Below are 20,073 nucleotides of genomic sequence, written 5' to 3' on the forward strand. Positions count from 1 at the left end.
TCCTGTCTCAGCCTCCCTAGTAGCTGGGATTACAGACGTCCACCACCACGCCCAGCTAATTTTTGTATTTTTAGTAGAGACGGGTTTTCATCATGTTGGCCAGGCTGGTCTTGAACTCCTGACCTCAGGAGATCCTCCTGCCTTGGCCTCCCAAAGTGCTGGAATTACAGGCATGAGCCACCACTCCTGACCCCATTTCTCATTTTTAGGAGTAATTTTTTTCTATGTGAAATAGACTGGTTTTATTGATAGTGCTAGAAATGTTTTGAGCCTTTTGTTCACTTCCACCTGAAGTATTTACATTATTTATATACCATTTTAAGTCTATTATTTTCTCTAAAAGTTAAATTCCAAACTAAATTGTAAATTATATTTGTGGTTTTGGTACAAATTAAAACAATAATAGAGATCAGAGAAAGAAAAATATAACTTAGGAGCAGTTCACCAGCTGGTAAATCAACTGCATTTGCTTCTCATGTACCTTCTGGTTCTTATCTGTTAGCAAGACTTCTTAAATTCTGCCTAGTGATAATCATGCCATAAGATCATCTCCTTCAGTTACCTTTTTTTGAGTGTGTCCCAACCACCTAGTACAGTTAGTTGTGTATGATCTTCTTGAGGAGCAATCAGAAGAGACTTGTGAAATATCATTAGCCTGTTAGCCTTGTTCCAGTGTTTTGTTGCTTACCCATCAAAACTTTAAACTTATATTCAGCATATTTGTTTCTGCCTTAATTTAAGCTCAGACTTCCTTTGTAGCTTCAAGGGAATAAAGAACAATTGTGTGACATCCTCTTTTTTAAAAACTTTGAAGGTAAATAAGAAAGGCAATGTGAACATGAGTAATAGTATAAAACACTGACTGTTAGAACCAAACAAACTCAATTTTTAAATTCCATCTCTGTCACTAGCTAGTTAGGCTGTCCTAGCAAGCTAGGAAATCTCTTTACTGCTCTAGGTCTCCTCTTCCTTTCCTGTAAAATGGCAAGATTGCAGAAGACTTGTATGTAGGGATATCAAGAGGATTAACTGAGATGATTCATGTAGAGCTCCTTCACAGTGTCTAGCAGAATGAAGCACTCATTAATGCCAGCTGCTGTTATGGTGGTCTGTTTAGCCTTTTTCAACTTGAGACCATTTATAATTCCTGTAACTCAGTAGTTCTCACCTGTTAGACCCATTGTTCCCTTTTTATTTATTTTTTATTATTATCTTTTGAGACAGAGCCTTGCTCCATCAACCAGGCTGAAATGCAGTGGCACAGTCAGCTCACTGCAGCCTCAAACATTTGAGCTCAAGCGATCATCCTGCCTTAGCCTCTTGAGTAGCTGAGACCACAGGAAAGCACCTTGCTAATTTTTTAAAAAATTTTTATAGAGACAGGATCTCACTGTGTTGCCTAAGCAGGTATCAAGTTTTAGGTTTCAAGTGATCTTCCTGGCTTGGCCTCCCAAAGTGCTTGGATTACAGGTGCAAGCCACTGTGCCTGGCCAAAATTTGTGTTTTAACCATTTTTAAGTGTATAGCTCAGTGGCATTAGTACACTCCCATTGTTGTACAACCATTACTGTCATTCATGTCCAGAACTGTTTTCATATTGTAAAACTGAAACTCTATACCCATTAAACAGTAACTTACCATTCCCTCCCAGTTGTTGGCAACCACCATTCTACCTACTGTCTTTGTGAATTTGACTACTCTAGGTAACACATATTTAAGTGAGATTAAGCTGGGTGCAGTGGCTCGTACCTGGATTCCCAGTACTTTGGGAGGGTCATTTGAGCCCAGGAGTTTGAAACCAGCCTGGGCAACACAGTGAGACCCTGTCTCTACAAAAAAATTTAAAAAATTACCCAGGGCATGGTGGGGCGTGTCTTTAGTCCTGCTTCTTGGGAGGCTGAGGTGGGAGGATCACATAAGCCCAGGAGGTTGAGTCTATAGTGAGCCAAGGTTGCGCCAGTGCACTCCAGCGTGGGTGACAGAGCAAGACTCTTTGTCTCAAAAGCGCCCCCCAAAACAAAAATTTATTATTGAAAAGTTTAAAATTATAAAAATAGAGGAGTATGAGGAACTCCTATATACCTATAACTCAGGTTCAATAATTAGCTACATATGGCTATTTTTTTTTGTCTGTCTTTCCACCCACCTCCAATGGGTTTATTTTGAAGCAACTTTCTCCCACTATCTTAAGGAAAGACTTTAAAAATAAAACATAAAATATACTAACCAAAATTGAAAAGAATTGATGTCAGTACATTATTACATATAGAATTAAGAACATCTGTTCATTAAAAGGCACAATTAAGAGAATGAAAAGGCAAGTTACAGAATGGGAGAAGAAACTTGGATTATATTTAACAGATAGAGAAATACAACAAATCAATAAGAAAAAGACAACTCCCCTTCCCAGAAACTGGGCAAGAATAGGCATGTCAGGAAAGAGAATATCCAAATGGCTTATTTTATATATTTTATATATATATATATATAAAATATTATATTATATTATTATATTATTCAGTCTCTTTAGAAGCAAGTGAAATGCAAATTGAAACCCTAATGAAATAACTGTAATACTGATCTCATACCAGAATCACTAAAATTGAAAAGAATAACAGGGCCAGGCGTGGTGTCTCATGGCTTTAATCCCAGCACTTTGGGAGGCTGAGGTGGTCGGATCCCTTGAGCTCTGGAGTTCGAGACCAGCCTGGGCAACATGGCTAAACCCCGTCTCTACAAAAAGTAAAAAATTAGCCAGACGTGGTGGCGCATGCCTGTAATCCCACTGTAATCTCAGCTACTCAGGAGGCTTAGGCTGGAGGATTGCTTGAGCCCGGGTAGTCGAGGCTGCAGTGAGCCATGATTATGTCACTGCACGCAGCCTGGGCAATAGAGTGAGACCCTGTCTCAAAAAAAAAAAAAAAAGACAACAACAACCACAACAAAAAACAGAATAATGAAAGCAAAGAGTGTATGGGGAACAATAGAAACTTGGCTGGGCATGGTGGCTCATGCCTATAATCCCAGCACTTTGGGAGGCCGAGACAGGCAAATCACCTGAGTTCAGGAGTTTGAAACCAGTCTAGCCATCATGGCAAAAAACCCATCTCTACTAAAAATAAAAAAATTAGCTGGACGTGGTAACATATGCCTGTAATCCCAGCTACTCGGGAGGCTGAGACAGTAGAATCACTTGAGCCCAAGAGGTGGAGGTTGCAGTGAGCTGAGATCACACCCACTGTACTCCAGCCTGAGCAACAGAGCAAGACTGTCTCACACACACATACACACAAAAAAAAATCTCAAACACTACTAGTGAGAATCTAAATTGGTACAGTGTCTTTGAAAAACTGTTTGACAGTATGTACTGAAGTTGAAGCTACACATATCATATTTAGTTCTATTTTTGTATATATTCAACAGAAGTGCATTCCTAGGTACACCGTAACACTTGTACAAGAATATTGAAAACAGCATTGTTTGTATTGTCCCAAAACTGGAAGCAACCCAGTTGCCCATCACTAGCAGGATAAGTAAGTAATGGCATAATCATACCGTGAAATATTATTCAGCAATGAAAACGAATAAACTGCCTTTACTTGTAAGAAGCTAACATGAGTCTTACAACATGATGTTGAGCAAAAATCCAAATGCACACCAAAAATAAAATGCATACAGGGTTATTCCTTTTACAGATAATGATAAAACTAAACCATAATATTTAGGGATGTATGCTTAAGTGGTATGAATTCAGTGATTGTATTAGTCCGTTTTCCTGCTGCTGATAAAGAAAGGAAGTGGAAGTCCAGAGAGCGATTACCTTTGGTGAGTGGGAGAGGATTGAGAGGGGGTGTGAGGAAGACTTCTAAGTACTAGCAGTGTTTTACTTATTCACCTGGGTAGTAGTACTTGGGTATTTGCTTTGTGATAAATTATCAGACCAGAATCCTTTATGTGTTTGCATCGTACCTGTGTTATATATCACCATAACTTTTTTTAAAAGGACATTTCATTTGGCCAGAACAGGCTTAATTAAACAAGTGTGTTACTTACATAGAGTGTCTCTTATCTTCACAAGTTTAACACTTAAAGCTGCCTTGTGATAATTTTAACAATTAGTTGGAGACAGGAATATTTATAATTGAAGTTGATTATTGACTTCTAAGTCGGTTTAAGAAAAAAGAATCTGACAGGTTTAATTCTCATTGATATGAAGGTTAATGAGTGAAGAGTGACAGATTTTGCAGTGCTGTAGTGTTATGAGAAAGGTCATGGTTTAGTTGGAGACAGAAGCATGCAATTAGGATTGACCTATTCATTTCTGTACTTTGAAGCAAGGTAGATGGGTGGAGAGGGAAAGCATTCACTCTTTTACAGTTCTAAAAGGAATATCCAAAACAAAGTCTTTTATAACAACAAACAACTTCTCTCAGATCTAAACTGGAATTAGTGCTATTATGTATGAAATGAAACACAGATTTAAAATAAGAAATCATTTCCCATTCCTCACTGTCCAGATTCTTACTAGCTATTCTGTACTGATCTTAGTTAACTGGAAGTTTAATACCTGGTTGTCTATCACTGGCAGAATAGATAAATAAATAATGGCATAATCATACAATGAAATATTATTCAGTGATTGTATTAGTCTGTTTTTTTGCTGCTGATAAAGACATATCCGAAACTGGGCGATTTACAAAAGAAAGAGGTTTATTGGATTTACAGTTCCACGTGACTGGGGAGGCCTCACAATCTTGGCGGAAGGCAAGGAGGAGCAAGTCACATCTTAATGTGTATCTCTATTTGCAACAGGCAGAGAAACTCCCGTTTTTAAAACCATCAGATCTCATAAGACCTATTCACTGTCACAAGAGCAGCACAGGAAAGACCTGCACCCATGATTCAGTCATCTCCCACCGGGTCTGTCCCACAACACATGGGAATTATGGGAGCTACAAGATGACATTTGGGTGGGGACGCAGAGCCAAACCATATGAAAATGAATAAGCTGCCTTTACTTGCAAGAACATAAGATGAGTCTGACAATATGATGTTAAGCAAAAATCCAAATGCACGCCAAAAATAAAATGCATACAGGGTTATTCCTTTATAGATAAAGGTAAAACTAAACCATAATATTTAGGGATATATGCTTAAGTTGTATGAATTATAACAAAGTATTTAAGATACTTTAATTTTCTGACTTACAGAATTGAATTTCTTTGAGTATTCTTGTTGCTACAAAAAAATTACAATTGAATTTCTTTACTGGTGTACTGGTAGAATTCTTGTTGTTGTTGTTGTTGTTGTTGTTGTTTTGAGACGGAGTCTTGCTCTGTAGCCCAGGCTGGAGTACAGTGGCGTGGTCTCGGCTCACTGCAAGCTCCGCCTCCCTGGTTCAAGCAGTTCCCCTGCCTCAGCCTCCCGAGTAGCTGGGATTACAGGTGCACGTCACCACACCTGGCTAGTTTTTAAAATATTTTTAGTAGAGAGGGTTTCACCATGTTGGCTAGACTAGTCTCTAACTCCTGAACTCAGGCAATCCACCCGCCTTGGCCTCCCAAAGTGCTGGGATTACAGGCATGAGCCACTGTGCCCAGCCTGGTAGACTTCTTAAGAATCTGAAAGACAGAGAGGAATAGGAAGGAATTTTTTTTAAAACTGCATTTCATTTCGTATGTAGGAAAACAAATTCCAGGCTAATGAGAGATGTCCTGGAGACAGAAGAGGGGGCATTAAAGTCAATATCATTGCCTCCTGGCTGTTCTCTAGAGTATAGTACTAATGATAGGGAAGTCGGGAAGGGAAGTGCTGGGAAGGGAAGGGCTGTGGTCCCTTTAAATGATATGGAAGGGTGGAAGGGCATGGTCCCTGGCTAGGGCTCCATCCTGGGCCTAAGACCTAGGTGAGGATAGGCATTTTTGTTTTCCTGGCCAAATGTTGCATTTCCCAAGACCACCCTGGCCTGCCACGCCCCCATCCTGTGCCTATAAAAACCCAGAGACCCCAGCAGGAAGACACACAGGTGGCTGGACGTGGAGAGGAGCACGTCAGGGGAGGAACACACAGGCGGCTGGAGGTAGAGAGGAATGCAACGACAGTCACCCGCACGCCAGCAGGTCACCAACCGGCAGAATGACATGGAGTTTGGCTGGGGCAGTAGGAGGAGAGCCTGGTCCGCCTAGTGGCCCGACTCCAGGGAAAAACCGTCTCCCTTCTGGCTCCCCCATCTGCCGAGAGCTACTTCCACTCAATAAAACCTTGCACTCATTCTTCAAGCCCATGTGTAATCTGATTCTTCTGGTACAAGGCAAGAAACCCCAGGATACAGAAATCCCTCTGTCCCTGTGATAAGACAGGGGTCTAATTGACACAACACAAGCTGCCTATGGATGGTAGGTTGCTAAACCGAAAGAGCATCCTGTAACACACACCCACTGGGGCTTCAGCTGTAAACATTCACCCCTAGACACTGCCTGTCCGTATGCTCCCCTAGAGGTTTGAGCAGCAGGGCACTGAAGAAGCGAGCCACACCCCCACTGCATGCCCTGTGAGGGGGACAAGGGAACTTTTCCTGTTGCACTAAGAAGGTTTGTGAAAGGTGGACTGACTTGGAGGAATTGACGGGATTATTACCAGAACAAACCTTTTAAACAATGAGACCCTCAATAGTTCTTGGAACTTGGCTGGGCGCGGTGGCTCACGCCTGTAATCCCAGCACTTTGGGAGGCCGAGGCGGGCGGATCGCCTGAGGTCAGGAGTTTGAAACCAGCCTGACCAACATGGAGAAACCTTGTTTCTACTAAAAATACAAAATTAGCCAGCCATGGTGGCACATGCCTATAATCCCAGCTACTTGGGAGGGTGAGACAGGAGAATCGTTTGAACCTGGGAGGCGGAGGTTGCAGTGAGCCAAGATCGCCATTACACTCCGGCCTGGGCAACAAGAGTGAAACTCCTCTTAAAAAAAAAAAAAAAAATTCTTGGAATTTAACAATTAAAAGCTTATTCTATTGCACCTACTGAAAACTCAGGAAATCTATGAGGGAAAGTAAGGTAGGATTTAATTGTTTGTCTACCTCCTTCCCGTAAAAACCCTGATGTTTCCATCAAGCTCTACCTGGAAAATTCAGAACTCATTCTAGAAGTTTGGAAACTTCTTGATTTAAGTGCTTTGTCTCATAAGAAGAGGCACAGCATCCTTCAGAATATAGTTGAAATGGCACTCAAAGGAGCAAAGTAAGGAAAAAATTTCATCAGCTGTTGAGACTATAGGCAAATGAAAGCTGAAATAACAGGAATATGAAAGGCTGTTTTCTTGCATTGAAGCAGATTGACTGGTAATTGGACAAGTGTGGATTTTTTCTGAACCTGTGAGTTGCAGTAGTCATCTGATAGAAGACTGATTGATGAACCGTCAGTCGGTATGCTTACAACCTCCGGAGAGGATACGTGTAGTTTGACCATTGGCAACAAAGATGGCGTTACTCTTAAATAAGTTTTGAAGAATTAAATATATATAAAAGTGTTAGCATTTCAAAAGGCTACAATAGCACACTATAGTAATATTAATTAAAGCAGACTAGAAGTCCTACAAAATGGCATTTGGACATATTTTTCTAAATTTCCCTGATGTGCTCTGATTTGGTCCCCTTCCAAACTTGATTCCCTATTATTTACACATTCTCTTTTTCATAAATATTTTATTTCCTACCAAAACAGTCGTATTTCCTCCAATAAGTGGTAAGTTGGTAGATGAAGATTTACCACCCAGGAAATTAAAGTTAGTGGCATCTTTAGTTTTTGGTTTTTGTGGTTTTGTCTTTTTTTTTTTTTTTTTTTTTTTAATTTTTGAGACAGGGTCTTGCTCTGTTGCCCAGGCTGGAGTGTAGTGGCATGCTCATAGCTCCCTGCAACCTCAGACTCCTGGGCTCAAGCAATCCTCTTGCCTCAGCCTCCCAACTAGTTAGGACTACAGATGCATGCATGCCAGCATGCCCAGCTACTTTTTAAATTTTTTATAGAAATGGGGACTAGCTGTGTTGCCCAGGCAGGTCTCAAGCTCCTGGCCTCAGGCGATACTCCTATCTTGGCCTCCCAAAGTGCTGGGATTACAGGTGTGAGCCACTGCAGCCAGCCAGAATCTTTAGTTGTGAAGTTCTGAATAGGCCTTAAGTACTAATTCTTGTGACAATAACTTCCTTTTCTTTGCACTTATATTTGTACAATATAACCCCAGTCCCCACATTTGCCATTAGTGCACATGAAGAAACTGAACTCCACTTGTAATTTTATTGGTGACTTACATGTGGATTATTCTCAAAGTTGGCATGAGACAAAGCAATTCCAAGCAATTGGTCACTTTCTTTTATGGTCCAATATTGGCTGTGTTCAGTCTGAAGGAGAACTTCAGGTTGTTTAATTGTTCATGAGATACCATTTCTGTAAGAATTGGCACTTACATAGGCTCTGCTCTTGAGTTTACTTTTTAGGAGAAAGTTGATACCATTAGAGAAAATATGTTAAGTAATAATCATACTTGTCAGGTTATCTAGACTTCTGGGCTTTACCTATATTTAACTGGATCTTACCTCTTCTGGTCTTTCTTTGGCCATGGTGAAATTGTTACGGATCTTTGGAGTGTCACTTTTCTGGCCAGAAACCTCTGTGGCCAGTGATGCCTTTGCCTGAGTTCTTGTCCTGCATCCAGGAAGAATGACATATACAAAGAAGTGGAAGGTGAACAAGATGAAAGAGGAGCTTTATTGAGTGTTACAACAGCTCAGCGGAGACCCGCAGTGGGTACCTCCTCTCTGTAGGCAGGTCGTCTCCTACAGAGTATTCAGCTCTCAGCAGAGAGGAGGCCCTGTAGAGGATGGTTTGCCAGCAGGTCGTCCCATTGTCTCTGCAGCTCTCAGCAGAGAAGGTGGCTCCTCTCTGCAGCAGGTTGTCCCTGTCCTCTCTCCATCCCCTGCCCAGCTCTGGCTGAGCCTGGGGCTTTTGTCGACCTTAGAGGGGAGAAAGTGCGTGCCAGTTGGTCCGTGGGTGGCCATGGGCGGGCCTGGAAAAGGCACCACAAGTCACTACCCGAGTATGCTGGACTAGCAGCCTGGCCCCCAGCCTTCAGAAGGTCCTCCCTGGCCTGACAGTGGGGCCTAACCAGGGACCCACCCCCTTCTGCCCAAGAATCTGCCTGCCTCCTGCTGCCATTCATAGCACCCTGGCTCAGCCAACTTTGCTGAGACTGGAGCAGGTGCCGACAACAGGGAGAAGCCAGACAAGCAGGAGCAGGCACTTCCTAGCCTGTGAGGGCAGGGAGGCCTTCCTGTGGCCTCAAGAGTACACGGATGCCTGAGTGTGCAGCTATGGTTTGGACAGCTACAGCTGGGAGATGGGGGGCTCCTGCCTGCTTCATGGAGCGGGAGGCCTGAGTCTACAGCCACAGTTTTGGCAGTGGCACCTGGGGAGTTCCTGCCCCAACTCAGAAGGGGTAGGGCTCCTGCTCCCCCTGCCACCCACTTTCAGGCTCCACTGAGTGTGTATCCCTGCTGGCCTGGTGGTGCCTCCCTGCTGCAGCCAGTATGATGTGAATAATGTTAGTACTCAACTTACTTTATGTATGTGTAAGGAATATCAGTAGATTATAGCAAGAATCTGAGATCCTTAGAAGAAAGGCTATATATCAAGGTACTGTTAAAATAATGGCAACTTGAGAACTAGTATATTTGGTGAGTTACACAGCACTAATGTAAAGCATAAAACCTGGACTGCCTTTTTGATTCTACAGTAGGATTTACTGTGTGACTTTGGGCAAGGAGTAGTACCGTGACTGATTTTCTCATCACTATGAGATTAAGAGAGGATATTCTGGGAGGGATTATAATTCCATTTTTCTCCTTGCTTGTCAGAGGGAATAATTTGCCATTATGTTAACAAAAGAAAGATACAAGCAATCCAAAACTGTTAAGTTTTTGGTTGTTGAATTCAGATACAAATTCAGTAACCCCCATGAGAATCCTTAGACTTACTCCATACCTGGGTTCCACCCCCTCTACACTTGTCTCTATGGTGAGCAGCCTAGAATTTGGGCATAGGCTTTTCCATGATGGAGATAATCTGCTCATGGATAATTGTATCAAATTCACTTCAGTACCTCTAAGAGCCTTACTGTGTGTTCATATTAGCTCTGCCATACCTCTTTAGATAGCACCCAAGGTGGTAGAGCTTTTAATAATTTTCACTCCATAATAATGTTATTGTGGAGGTCTAGCATATGTATTTAGTATTGTACAGTTAGATAAATTAATGCATTGTTGTTATATTGAGATGATTATTCTTTTTTTTTAATCAGTCTCTTGCACTAGACAGTAAAACTCTAAGAGGGCAGGAAACGTTTCTTGTTCACCGTTGTATCCTAGTGTATCTCAACGCCTACAGCAGTACATGGATGTACAAAACACCTCTTAGAGACCTTGGTGACATTTCTTTTGTGTGTATACCAAGAAGCAGAATTGCTGCATCATGTGGTAGTTCTATGTTTTATCTTTTAAGGAACCAACATGTGGTTTTTATTGGGGCTGTACCATTTTACATTTCCACTAGCAGTGCCCCAGAATTCCAGTTTTTCCACATTCTTGCCACACTTGTTGTTTTCTGTTTTTTTTTTTTAATAAATAAATATGCACCCTGGGTATAAATATAATCAGAACTTTAAACAAAATTAATTCTAAAACACTTAGTACAGTATGATCTTCAGGTTAAATTATAAATTAACAGCAGAATGAGACTGTGTTTTAAAGCTTGTCAAGACACCTGTTCAAGGTTGATTTAATACATGGAATAATCAGGCTCAGCTATTTCTATGTCATTCTCAGTGCCTAAAAACAACTTTTACCTAATTTTTGAAGCCAGCAAAAACAATAATAACAAAACCTGTAGTATTTACAAATATGTCATTTGTACTGTAAATAACATACTTTTTCTCAAATATACCTGAATGTGTGCTATTTGAAATAATTCCAACCAGCCTGACCAACATGGTGAAACCCTGTCTCTACTAAAAATACAAAAATTAGCCAGGCGTGGTAGCGCGTGCCTGTAATCCCAGCTACTGGGAATGCTGAGGCAGAAGAATGGCTTGAACCCGGGAAGCGGAGGTTGTAGTGAGCCAAGATCACAGCACTGTACTCCCCGCCTGGGCAACAGAGCGAGACTCCGTCTCCAGAAAAAAAAGAAAGAAATAATTCCAAAAAAACTTCTGAAATGGTTCCTGATAGAGTGAAATAAATAAGAAAGCTCAACAAGCTCAAGGCTTCCTCATTTTTTTTTTTTTTTTTTTTTTTTTTGGAGATGGAGTCTTGCTCTGTCGCCCAGGCTGGAGTGCAGTGGCTCATTCTCAGCTCACTGCAACCTCTGCCTCCCGGGTTCAAGCAATTCTCCTGCTTCAGCCTCCCCAGTAGCTGGAATTACAGGTGCCTGCCACCATGCCTGGCTAATTTTTGTATTTTTAGTAGAGACGGGGTTTCACCATGTTTGCTGATCTCGAACTCCTTACCTCAAGTGATCCGCCCGCCTCAGCCTCCCAAAGTGCTGGGATTACAGGTGTGAGCCACTGCATCTGGCCTAGGCATCCTCATATTCTTTATGAATCTTGCCTGAGAATTTTTTTTTTACCTGAACACCCAGGATTAGAGAATATTTAGCAGCACTTTTTCCTTAAAAATGTGTTTCTGATAGAATACATGCTCTCTTATCACAGCTAAATATTAATAAAAAGATGAAATCCTGCCTTATTTCTTACCAATAGAATTAGGTAAATCTTAAGCTTTCTTTTCATGAAAAAATAAGTTTAAAAATCACTAAGTATTGATGGGAATTAAAAATTACTTTCTGTATAATACTAAGAGACATTTAGGTGCCAGTTGATTAAAGTAAGGTTTTGAATCTACTTGAGGTGTTGGTTTAAGTTTAAAAAGGCAGTATCAGCTAGTGAGTAGACAAATTAAGATGTTAGATTATTGCTTTATCTTTTTGGTGACCTCATGTCATAGAATATAAATGCAAAATTGTCATTTGTGCCCTCCTGACCTATGTAGACCATCTCAGTGCCTCCCATGCCCTCTGGCTTACTTAAGTTTGGCCACTGGGCAGCATTGGCAGGAGATTCCGAGGAAGGGAGGAGAGTAAGGTAGGGGACTTTTATTCCTCTAATCTTTCTCTGAGGGGTAGCTGTGGGCTGAGTGTGTCCTTTGGCCAAAGGTCACAGCAACTGTCTGATGGCGCTTTCTATACCAGATGAAACAAAAATAAAAGGGCCCTTTCTGTCTTTGGCTCCTGTAACTGCTTCCTCCTCACACTCAAGTCTCAAGTAGCAGTGCACATTGCTTAAAAGCCAGCAAAAACAGTAACAAGAGGTACAGCCCTATCTTGGGTGGTTTCCCTACTCTTTGCTAACACCTTTGAAAATACTCCTATTATTAAACTCTATTAAGATTGCCCAATTTGAGTATGCCATTCGCTTCCTCTTTGGGATCTTGACTGAAATAGCTGCTTTATATATTTTTAATCATTATCCTAACAGTATTCCAGATAAACCCTAATTATACTAATTTATTTTGGCCAATAATTGAGTGTTTGCAGAACTACCCTTTGTTTTTTGTTTGTTTTTTGAGACAGGATCTCTCTCTGTCACCCAGCTGGAATGCAGTGGTGCATTCACGACTCATTGCAGCCTCAACCTGCCAGACTCCAGCTGTCTTCCCGCCTCACCCTCCCAATTAGCTGGGGCTACAGGCAAGTGCCACCATGCCCAGCTAATTTTTCTCCTTTTTATAGAGGCAGGGTTTCACCATATTGCCCAGGCTGCTCTTGAACTTCTGGGCTCAAGCGATCCACCTGCCTTGGCCTCCCAAAATGTTCGGATTATAGGCGTGAACCACCACACCCAGCCTTTCCTTTGTTTTTCTTGCAGTTTGTGTCATCTAGTATGTTGTTAAAGGAAAAAAAAAAAAAAAACAGAGCTAGATAAGAGGCTAGTAATAGAACCCAAAATGCTGTTTTGTGTTCCCTCTTTTCCCTAAAAGAGATTGGTGGTTTGATTCACTAATAAGTGGATTATTGATGTCCTTCATATCATTCCCACTGCTCATTAATACCTCTTTGGGGGAGGATACATTAAAACATTCGAGTTATATCATTTGGCTGATCTATAGGAATTCTGAGAAGGTTCTAAATAGTGCTTTGGTTCTATAAGATCTTCGTTTTTGTAGACTGTGTCTCTTTTCAATTAATAAAGATAATTGGGAGTTAACCATATTATATAGTCATCTAGAAAACTGAAGCTTAAATACTGTTTGTATAAGTGTTACCCGATTTTTCATTTGAGTAGCAGTCTAGAAATGGCCGGTATTAACAAAAGTTAAATCTAAATTAATTCAAGGTTCAAGATTAAGCCATGAAAGAATCTTTAATTGAAACATATCTGTAATAACAGCAAAATAATTTGGAAAGTGTACTAGAGTATTACCGTGGTTTTTTTGTACCCCTTTTCTTAACATTTTTCCTTTTACTTGCCTTGTTGAAATTCTAACTCCTAAGCTACTTCCAAGTACAGTGCAGAGATCAGTAATATTGTTATCACCTGGGAGTAAAAATCTGCCACAGGCCAGACTGCTGAATCACAACCTACATTTTAGCATAAGATTCCCTAGGTGGTAAGTATGCACATCAGAATTTGAAAAGCACTCTAACCATTTCCTGAGATTTTATCTTATTGGGTTAAAACAAAGCTATTGAGTGTTAAAGCTGAAGTAATTTATTGATCACATAGGGGTAAAGAAACTGATTAAATTTGCACATAGCCTTTTTCTTTGTAAGTACAGAGAAACCAGAATCTTTTTTTGTAATCAATCATATTGAACTGTTTTTCCATAACCTACAACTTGGATGCCTTGCGTCATCAAGCATTATATTAGGGACACACACATGAATGTATTCACGGGTTTATAGTCTACAAACATAACATGTATGGTTCTGGCTAGAAGAGGAAATAACTGTGTGTTGTTAATGCTACAGAAGCTCCCATCCCACTCACATTTTCAGATTCTTTAGTGTTAAATTTTACCATGGGGAGCTATTTACTTGTGACATTTTTAGAAGGCCTTAAGGTGGGATAATTAACAACGATATCAAGGATTACAGGACAGTCTAATATGGTTGATGTATTTAGTGTTTACCTCAAGCTGTGACAGTTTTTATTAAAATTAAATTTCTGTATTATAAGTTTAATTCAAAAGGCAGTTATATGTTATCTATGTAACAGAATTTGCCAAATAGCAACTAAGTTGCTGTTAATTGTTTTATGGGACGAAAGCAGCCAGTCTTGGCCCTTCTGTCTTAGGGATGGATTATATTTGGATCATGTTGAATATATTTTTCCCTTATTCTTTCAGATTCATCAGGATTCATTTTTGATTTGCAGTCCAATACCGTACTGGCCCAGGGAGGAGCTTTTGAGAACATGAAAGAGAAGGTAAGACTAGTCACTATGGATAGTAAACTTAAATGTCATAGGAAAATTTAGGTACTAATACGACTAGTGGCTACCACAAACTCATTATGAGACTGAAATTTTAAGAATAAAACAATGCCACTATATATCAGAGAGTGACGGCCATAAATAGGTTCTGATTGCGCAGAACCTATTAACAGAACCTATTAAATGCAAACATTTTCTTTGCCTATCTCCATGTATATTCATTCTAAATTCTTTTGAAGATATTCAGTATTAATTAGTTGATTAATATTTATGTGGCTGAGTGTATCTCACTTGGCAACATTCCTTAAGGAACAATCGAATAGGATCTTCCCAAGTACTTGAAGAGCATTCTTAAGTCCAGGAGCCTTCAGAGCCAAGACAAGAAATAGGTCTTTTTTTTTTTTTTTTTGAGACGGAGTCTCGCACTGTCACCCAGGCTGGAGTGCAGTGGCCGATCTGGGCTCACTGCAAGCTCTGCCTTCCGGGTTCGCGCCATTCTCCTGCCTCAGCCTCTCCAAGTAGCTGGGACTACAGGCGCCCACCACCATGCCCGGCTAATTTTTTGTATTTTTAGTAGAGACAGGGTTTCGCCGTGGCCTCGATCTCCTGACCTCGTAATCTGCCCACCTGGGCCTCCCAAAGTGCTGGGATTACAAGCGTGAGCCACCATGCCCGGCCGAAATAGGTCTTTTGTGGGTTTTTTCGAGACAGAGTCTCACTCTGTCACCCAGGTTGGAGTGCAGTGGCACGATCTCAGCTCACTGCAATCTCTGCCTCCTGGGTTCAAGTGATTCTTGTGCCTCAGCCTCCTGAGTAGCTGGGATTACAGGCGTGCATCATCACGCCCAGCTAATTTTTGTATTTGTAGTGGAGACAGGGTTTCTCCCTGTTGGCCAGGGTGATCGCAAACTCCTGGCCTCAAGTGATCCACCCGCCTCAGCCTCCCAGAGTGCTAGGATAGTCACCACACCTGGCCAGAAGTAGATCTAAGGAGCATTCTTTTGGAAGAAAACCAAGTGGTTTTAGTAATGAAACCGTCAACGAGCTGTACTGAGAAAAACATAAAAGCTTTATGGGCTCTCTTTTTTTTTTTTTTTTTTTTGAGACAGAGTCTTACTCTGTCACCCAGGCTGGAGTGCAGTGACGCAGTCTCGGCTCCCTTTAGCCTCCACCTCCTGGGTTCAAGTGATTCTCATCCCCCAGCCTCCTGAGTAGCTGGAATTACAGGCATCTGCCACCATGCCTGGCTAATTTTTATATTTTTAGTAGAGACAGGTTTTGTCATGTTGGCCAGGCTGGTCTCAAACTCCTGACCTCAGGCGATCTGCCTGCCTTGGCCTCCCAAAGTGCTGGGATTATAGGCGTGAGCCACTGCACCTGGCCTCTCTGTCTTATTTAAAAAAAAATTGTTGACTATGGAGTCCTGTACAGTGGTTGAGTACTATAAATACTTGTATTTTAAGTTATCAGAATCTTACCTTTATCGTAGAGTCTGTAAGTTTGGTGCCTTTTGTTGTTGTTGTTGTTGTTTTGTTTTCTGTTGTTGTGAGATGGAATTTCACTCTGTCGTCCAGGCTGGAGTGCAGTGGCGTGATCTCAGCTCACTGCACACCTCCGCCTCCCGGGTTCAAGTGATTCTCCTGCCTCAACCTCCCGTGTAGCTGGGGATACAGGTGCGTGCCACCATGCCTGGCTAAGTTTTTATATTTTTAGTAGAGAGGGTGTCACCATGTTAGCCAGGATGGTCTCAATCTCCTGCGTGATCCACCCACCTCGGCCTCCCAAAGTGCTGGGATTACAGGCATGAGCCACCGCATCCAGCAGAGTCTGTAATTTTTACCTAAACTTCCATTTTTTAGGGATCATTGCTGTGATTGATACATACTAAGTTGCTCATCTCAAAAATGTATTAACCTTCGTTGAATTACAGACTGTATACCTTCTCACTTGTATGGTTTTTTTATTTTTTGAAACAGAGTCTCCCTCTGTTGCCCAGGCTGGAGGCTGAGGCAGGAGAGTGGCGTGAACCTGGGAGGCAGAGCTTGCAGTGAGCCGAGATTGTGCCACTGCACTCCAGCTTAGGCGACAGAGCGAGACTCCGTCAAAAAAAAAAAAAAGAAAAAAAAGAGAGAGAAACCAGTATCTAGGAGCTAGGTGTGCTTATTGCTATTGAGGAGTCATTGTTTTTAGACTTTTTCGTGGATGAAACTAGGAGATTTTTTTTGTTAAAAAATGAGTTCACATTGACATCTTCAATTCAAATATACTATTAAAAGATCTTTTCTCATCTTATTTTAAACATGTATTTCTTCTCTCTTAACCAAATTTTTAGTTCCTAAAAACATTATTCACTGATTTGTTTTATTTTTATAATACTCATAAAATAATAAGAACCCTACAGTATAATATTACTACTATGTTACTAATGATAAAACCATTGAATAAAATTTAAGATTTGCAATTCTTTTACCCTTTAAATGTATCTCTCTAAACCCACACAGTAAGAATATTGTGTTCAAAAGTCAGTGGGGCCAGGCGCGATGGCTCATGCTTGTAATCCCAGCACTTTGGGAGGCCGAGGCAGGCAGATCACTTGAGTGAGGTCAGGAGTTCGAGACCATCCTGTCCAACATGGTGAAACCCTATCTGTACTAAAAATACAAAAATTAGCCAGGCATGGTGGTGCACGTCTCTAATCCCAGCTACCTGGGAGACTGTGACAGAATTGCTTGAACCTGGGAGGCAGAGGTTGCAGTGAGCCAAGATCTCACCACTATACTCCAACCTTGACAGAGTGAGACTCCGCCTCCAAAAAATAAAAAAACGGTCAGTGGGAAGATTTATTCTAGTTCACCCTTTCCCTGAAGGTGCAATATTTTTAAAACGGCAAGCTTACATAAGATCTCAGTTCCAATCTTTTTGTTTGGGTTTTTTGGTTTTGTTTGAGACAGTCTTGCTGTCACCCAGGCTGGAATGCAGTGTTGTGATCTCAGCTCACTGCAGCCTCAACCTCCCAGGCTCAAGCAGTCCTCCCGCCTCACCCTCCTGAGTAGCTGGGACCACAGGCATGTGCCACCACATCCGGCTAATTTTATTTTTTGTAGAGACAAGGTCTCACTATGTTGCCTAGGCTGATCTCAAACTCCTGAGATCAAAGGATCCTCCCACCTCAGCCTCCCAAAAGTGCTGGCATTACTGGGCTTAATGGCACTATGTGGTAAAACCCATGTGTTATTGAGACTGGCAAAACATGCCACAGTTACCTATTAATAGTTCAAGCTCACTATTCTGGGTTTTAGTTCCCTCTAGGGATTTCCCTTACTTCTTATGTTCAGCTATACATTTAAAATGATGTATATTATTTTTCATCCTGTATTTTTTTTTTTGAGACGGAGTTTCGCTCTTGCTGCCCAGGCTGCCATGCAATGGCGCGATCTCGACTCACTGCAACCTCCACCTCCCGGGTTCAAGTGATTCTCCTACCTCAGCCTCCTGAGTATCTGGGATTACAGGCATGCGTCACTGTGCCCAACTAATTTTTGTATTTTCAGTAGAGACGGCGTTTTTCCATGTTGGTCAGGCTGGTCTCGAACTCCTGACCTCGTGATCCGCCTGCCTCAGCCTCCTAAAGTGCTGGGATTACAGGTGCTAGCCACCATGCCCAGCCATATATTTTTAGTCTCAAAAAATATGAAATACAGGCCAGGTGCGGTAGCTCAAAGCCTGTAATCCCAGCACTTTGGGAGGTGGAGGCAGGCAGATCACTTGAGGCCAAGAGTTCAAGACCAGCCTGGCCAACATAGCAAAACCCCATCTCTACTAAAATACAAAAATTAGCTGGACGTGGTGGCACATGCCTGTAATCCTGACTACTCAGGAGGCTGGGGCACGAGAATCGCTTGAACCTGGGAGGTGGAGGTTGCAGTGAGCCGAGATCACACCTCTGCACTCCAGCCTGGGTGACAGAGCGAGACTGTCTCAAAATAAATAAATAAGAGATGCATTTATCAACATAGAAAAAATCTAAAACAATAATGCTATGTGAAAAAAACAAATTGAAGATAAATATATATGATATAATATTTATGTATTTATGTAGTGCAAAATAATAGTGTATATTACCTATGGATATATGCACATATCATAAAAATGCAAAAGCACGTATGGAAATAATACCAAGTTCAGGGTAGAAATCTCTAGCGAGACGAAGAAGGGAAATAGGACTTATTAGGTGTTCATGGGGGCTTCAATTATATTTATTTTGTTTTAATAAACTCAGTGGCATGCAATGGGTGTCATTATGTTTTATATGCCTAACATAGTTTATAATTTAAATTGTTTGTATAAATTATCTTTATTTTACAGTTAAATGATACAAGGTAAAATATGTTTCAAAAAATCTTACATAAAAATCTAAGTTGTTATTGTTGCTAGTTCATTTACCTTTCCACCTTTCTTTACAGTATGCTAAAAATGAGGGAATATTGATGCCACATTAATACCTGATACCGAAATTAAACCACCTTTTCTTTATATGAAATCTAGCATATAACTTCTATTTCTAGCAATGTTCTGCATTTCTAAGTTTTGAAATTAATTTTTCACATGCTGTTATCACTCATCTATTAATCATTCCCAGTGAGATGCTTGTATGTACTGTCACTGACACTAAAGAGTGATACATATTGTTAAAAATGAAATATCACTCTTTTCATTATTCTCTGTATAGGCCTCAGCTGCCTAGTGACCTACTAATGTTAGAATTAAATGACCCTGTCATCTTTTCCAGATAAATGCGGTACGTGCAATAGTTCCTAATAAGAGCAACAATGAAATTATCCTGGTTTTGCAGCACTTTGATAACTGTGTGGACAAAACAGTACAAGCATTCATGGAAGGTAATCCTGACTTAATTTTAAAAATAAATTTATATTTGCTCAAATAGAATTTGCTTCAGACTTTTATAACATTCAGCAATCCAGTGATTCATAGATGATAGAGCAGACCCCATGAAAACATAACATACCATGACATTTGACGATACCTCTTTCAGCTGAAATAAGCTATGTGGTGTCTATAATAAGAGATAAGCTGAGAAAACTCCATTGTTTCACGCTAAATGTTCTCTAATGGTATTTAAGAGGAAATCATGTGGCCAGTGGTATAAGGGACTTGATTGGACTTGGGTTGAATAAGAATTTAAGAGACTCTTAATAACAAAGCAGTGATTCAGTGGCTCACCAACAGATGGCAAATTCAAGGACTCAGTATTGTCTTCCGGATTCTAATATCGTTAGTTTGGCTGTGGCAAGTGACTCAAATGTGTGGGTTTGAATTTCCTTATCTAATACGTAGAAGAATGGCAGGCTTAGTCAACCCTTCAGATTTATAACATTGAGAAGTGTTTTATGAACCTTCCTTCCATGTAACCTGTTGGAGAAAAACTATCTGAAGCTATTGCGTCTTTGAATAGCAACATGAGGTTAGGTCTCCCTGTTTTTATTTTCCTGAATCTGCCAACATAGGATGCACAAGTT

At 40.9% G+C, this 20,073-nt stretch overlaps 1 protein-coding gene across 19 annotated transcripts in view, besides 1 other annotated feature; it reads left to right on the forward strand.

The window, feature by feature from the left end:
* Positions 1–20,073, forward strand: part of SPATS2 (spermatogenesis associated serine rich 2) — a 160,574-nt gene that overhangs the window by 103,288 nt on the left and 37,213 nt on the right. For 18 of the 19 annotated variants that reach the window (NR_120663.2, XM_047429409.1, XM_047429412.1 and 15 more), the window contains 2 exons: positions 14,451–14,530; positions 19,326–19,434. Coding sequence is in view for 18 of the 19 variants with exons in the window: in XM_047429409.1 (XP_047285365.1) it covers positions 14,451–14,530; positions 19,326–19,434 (189 nt within the window). In the remaining variant the exon portion in view is untranslated. Of the gene's footprint in view, positions 1–14,450; positions 14,531–16,184; positions 16,210–19,325; positions 19,435–20,073 lie in introns of those variants that run through there. The other variant, XM_047429411.1, reaches the window with a different exon arrangement.
* Positions 9,173–9,760: an enhancer, noted in NCBI's record as "H3K27ac-H3K4me1 hESC enhancer chr12:49873095-49873682 (GRCh37/hg19 assembly coordinates)". NCBI's record gives its function as "activates a minimal SCP1, AML or CMV promoter by ChIP-STARR-seq in naive H9 embryonic stem cells {active_cell/tissue: H9 hESC(naive)}" and the evidence as "EXISTENCE:reporter gene assay evidence [ECO:0000049][PMID:30033119]".

This window comes from Homo sapiens, chromosome 12 (genome assembly GCF_000001405.40).
Source record: "Homo sapiens chromosome 12, GRCh38.p14 Primary Assembly".
NCBI classification, from domain to species: Eukaryota; Metazoa; Chordata; class Mammalia; order Primates; family Hominidae; genus Homo; species Homo sapiens.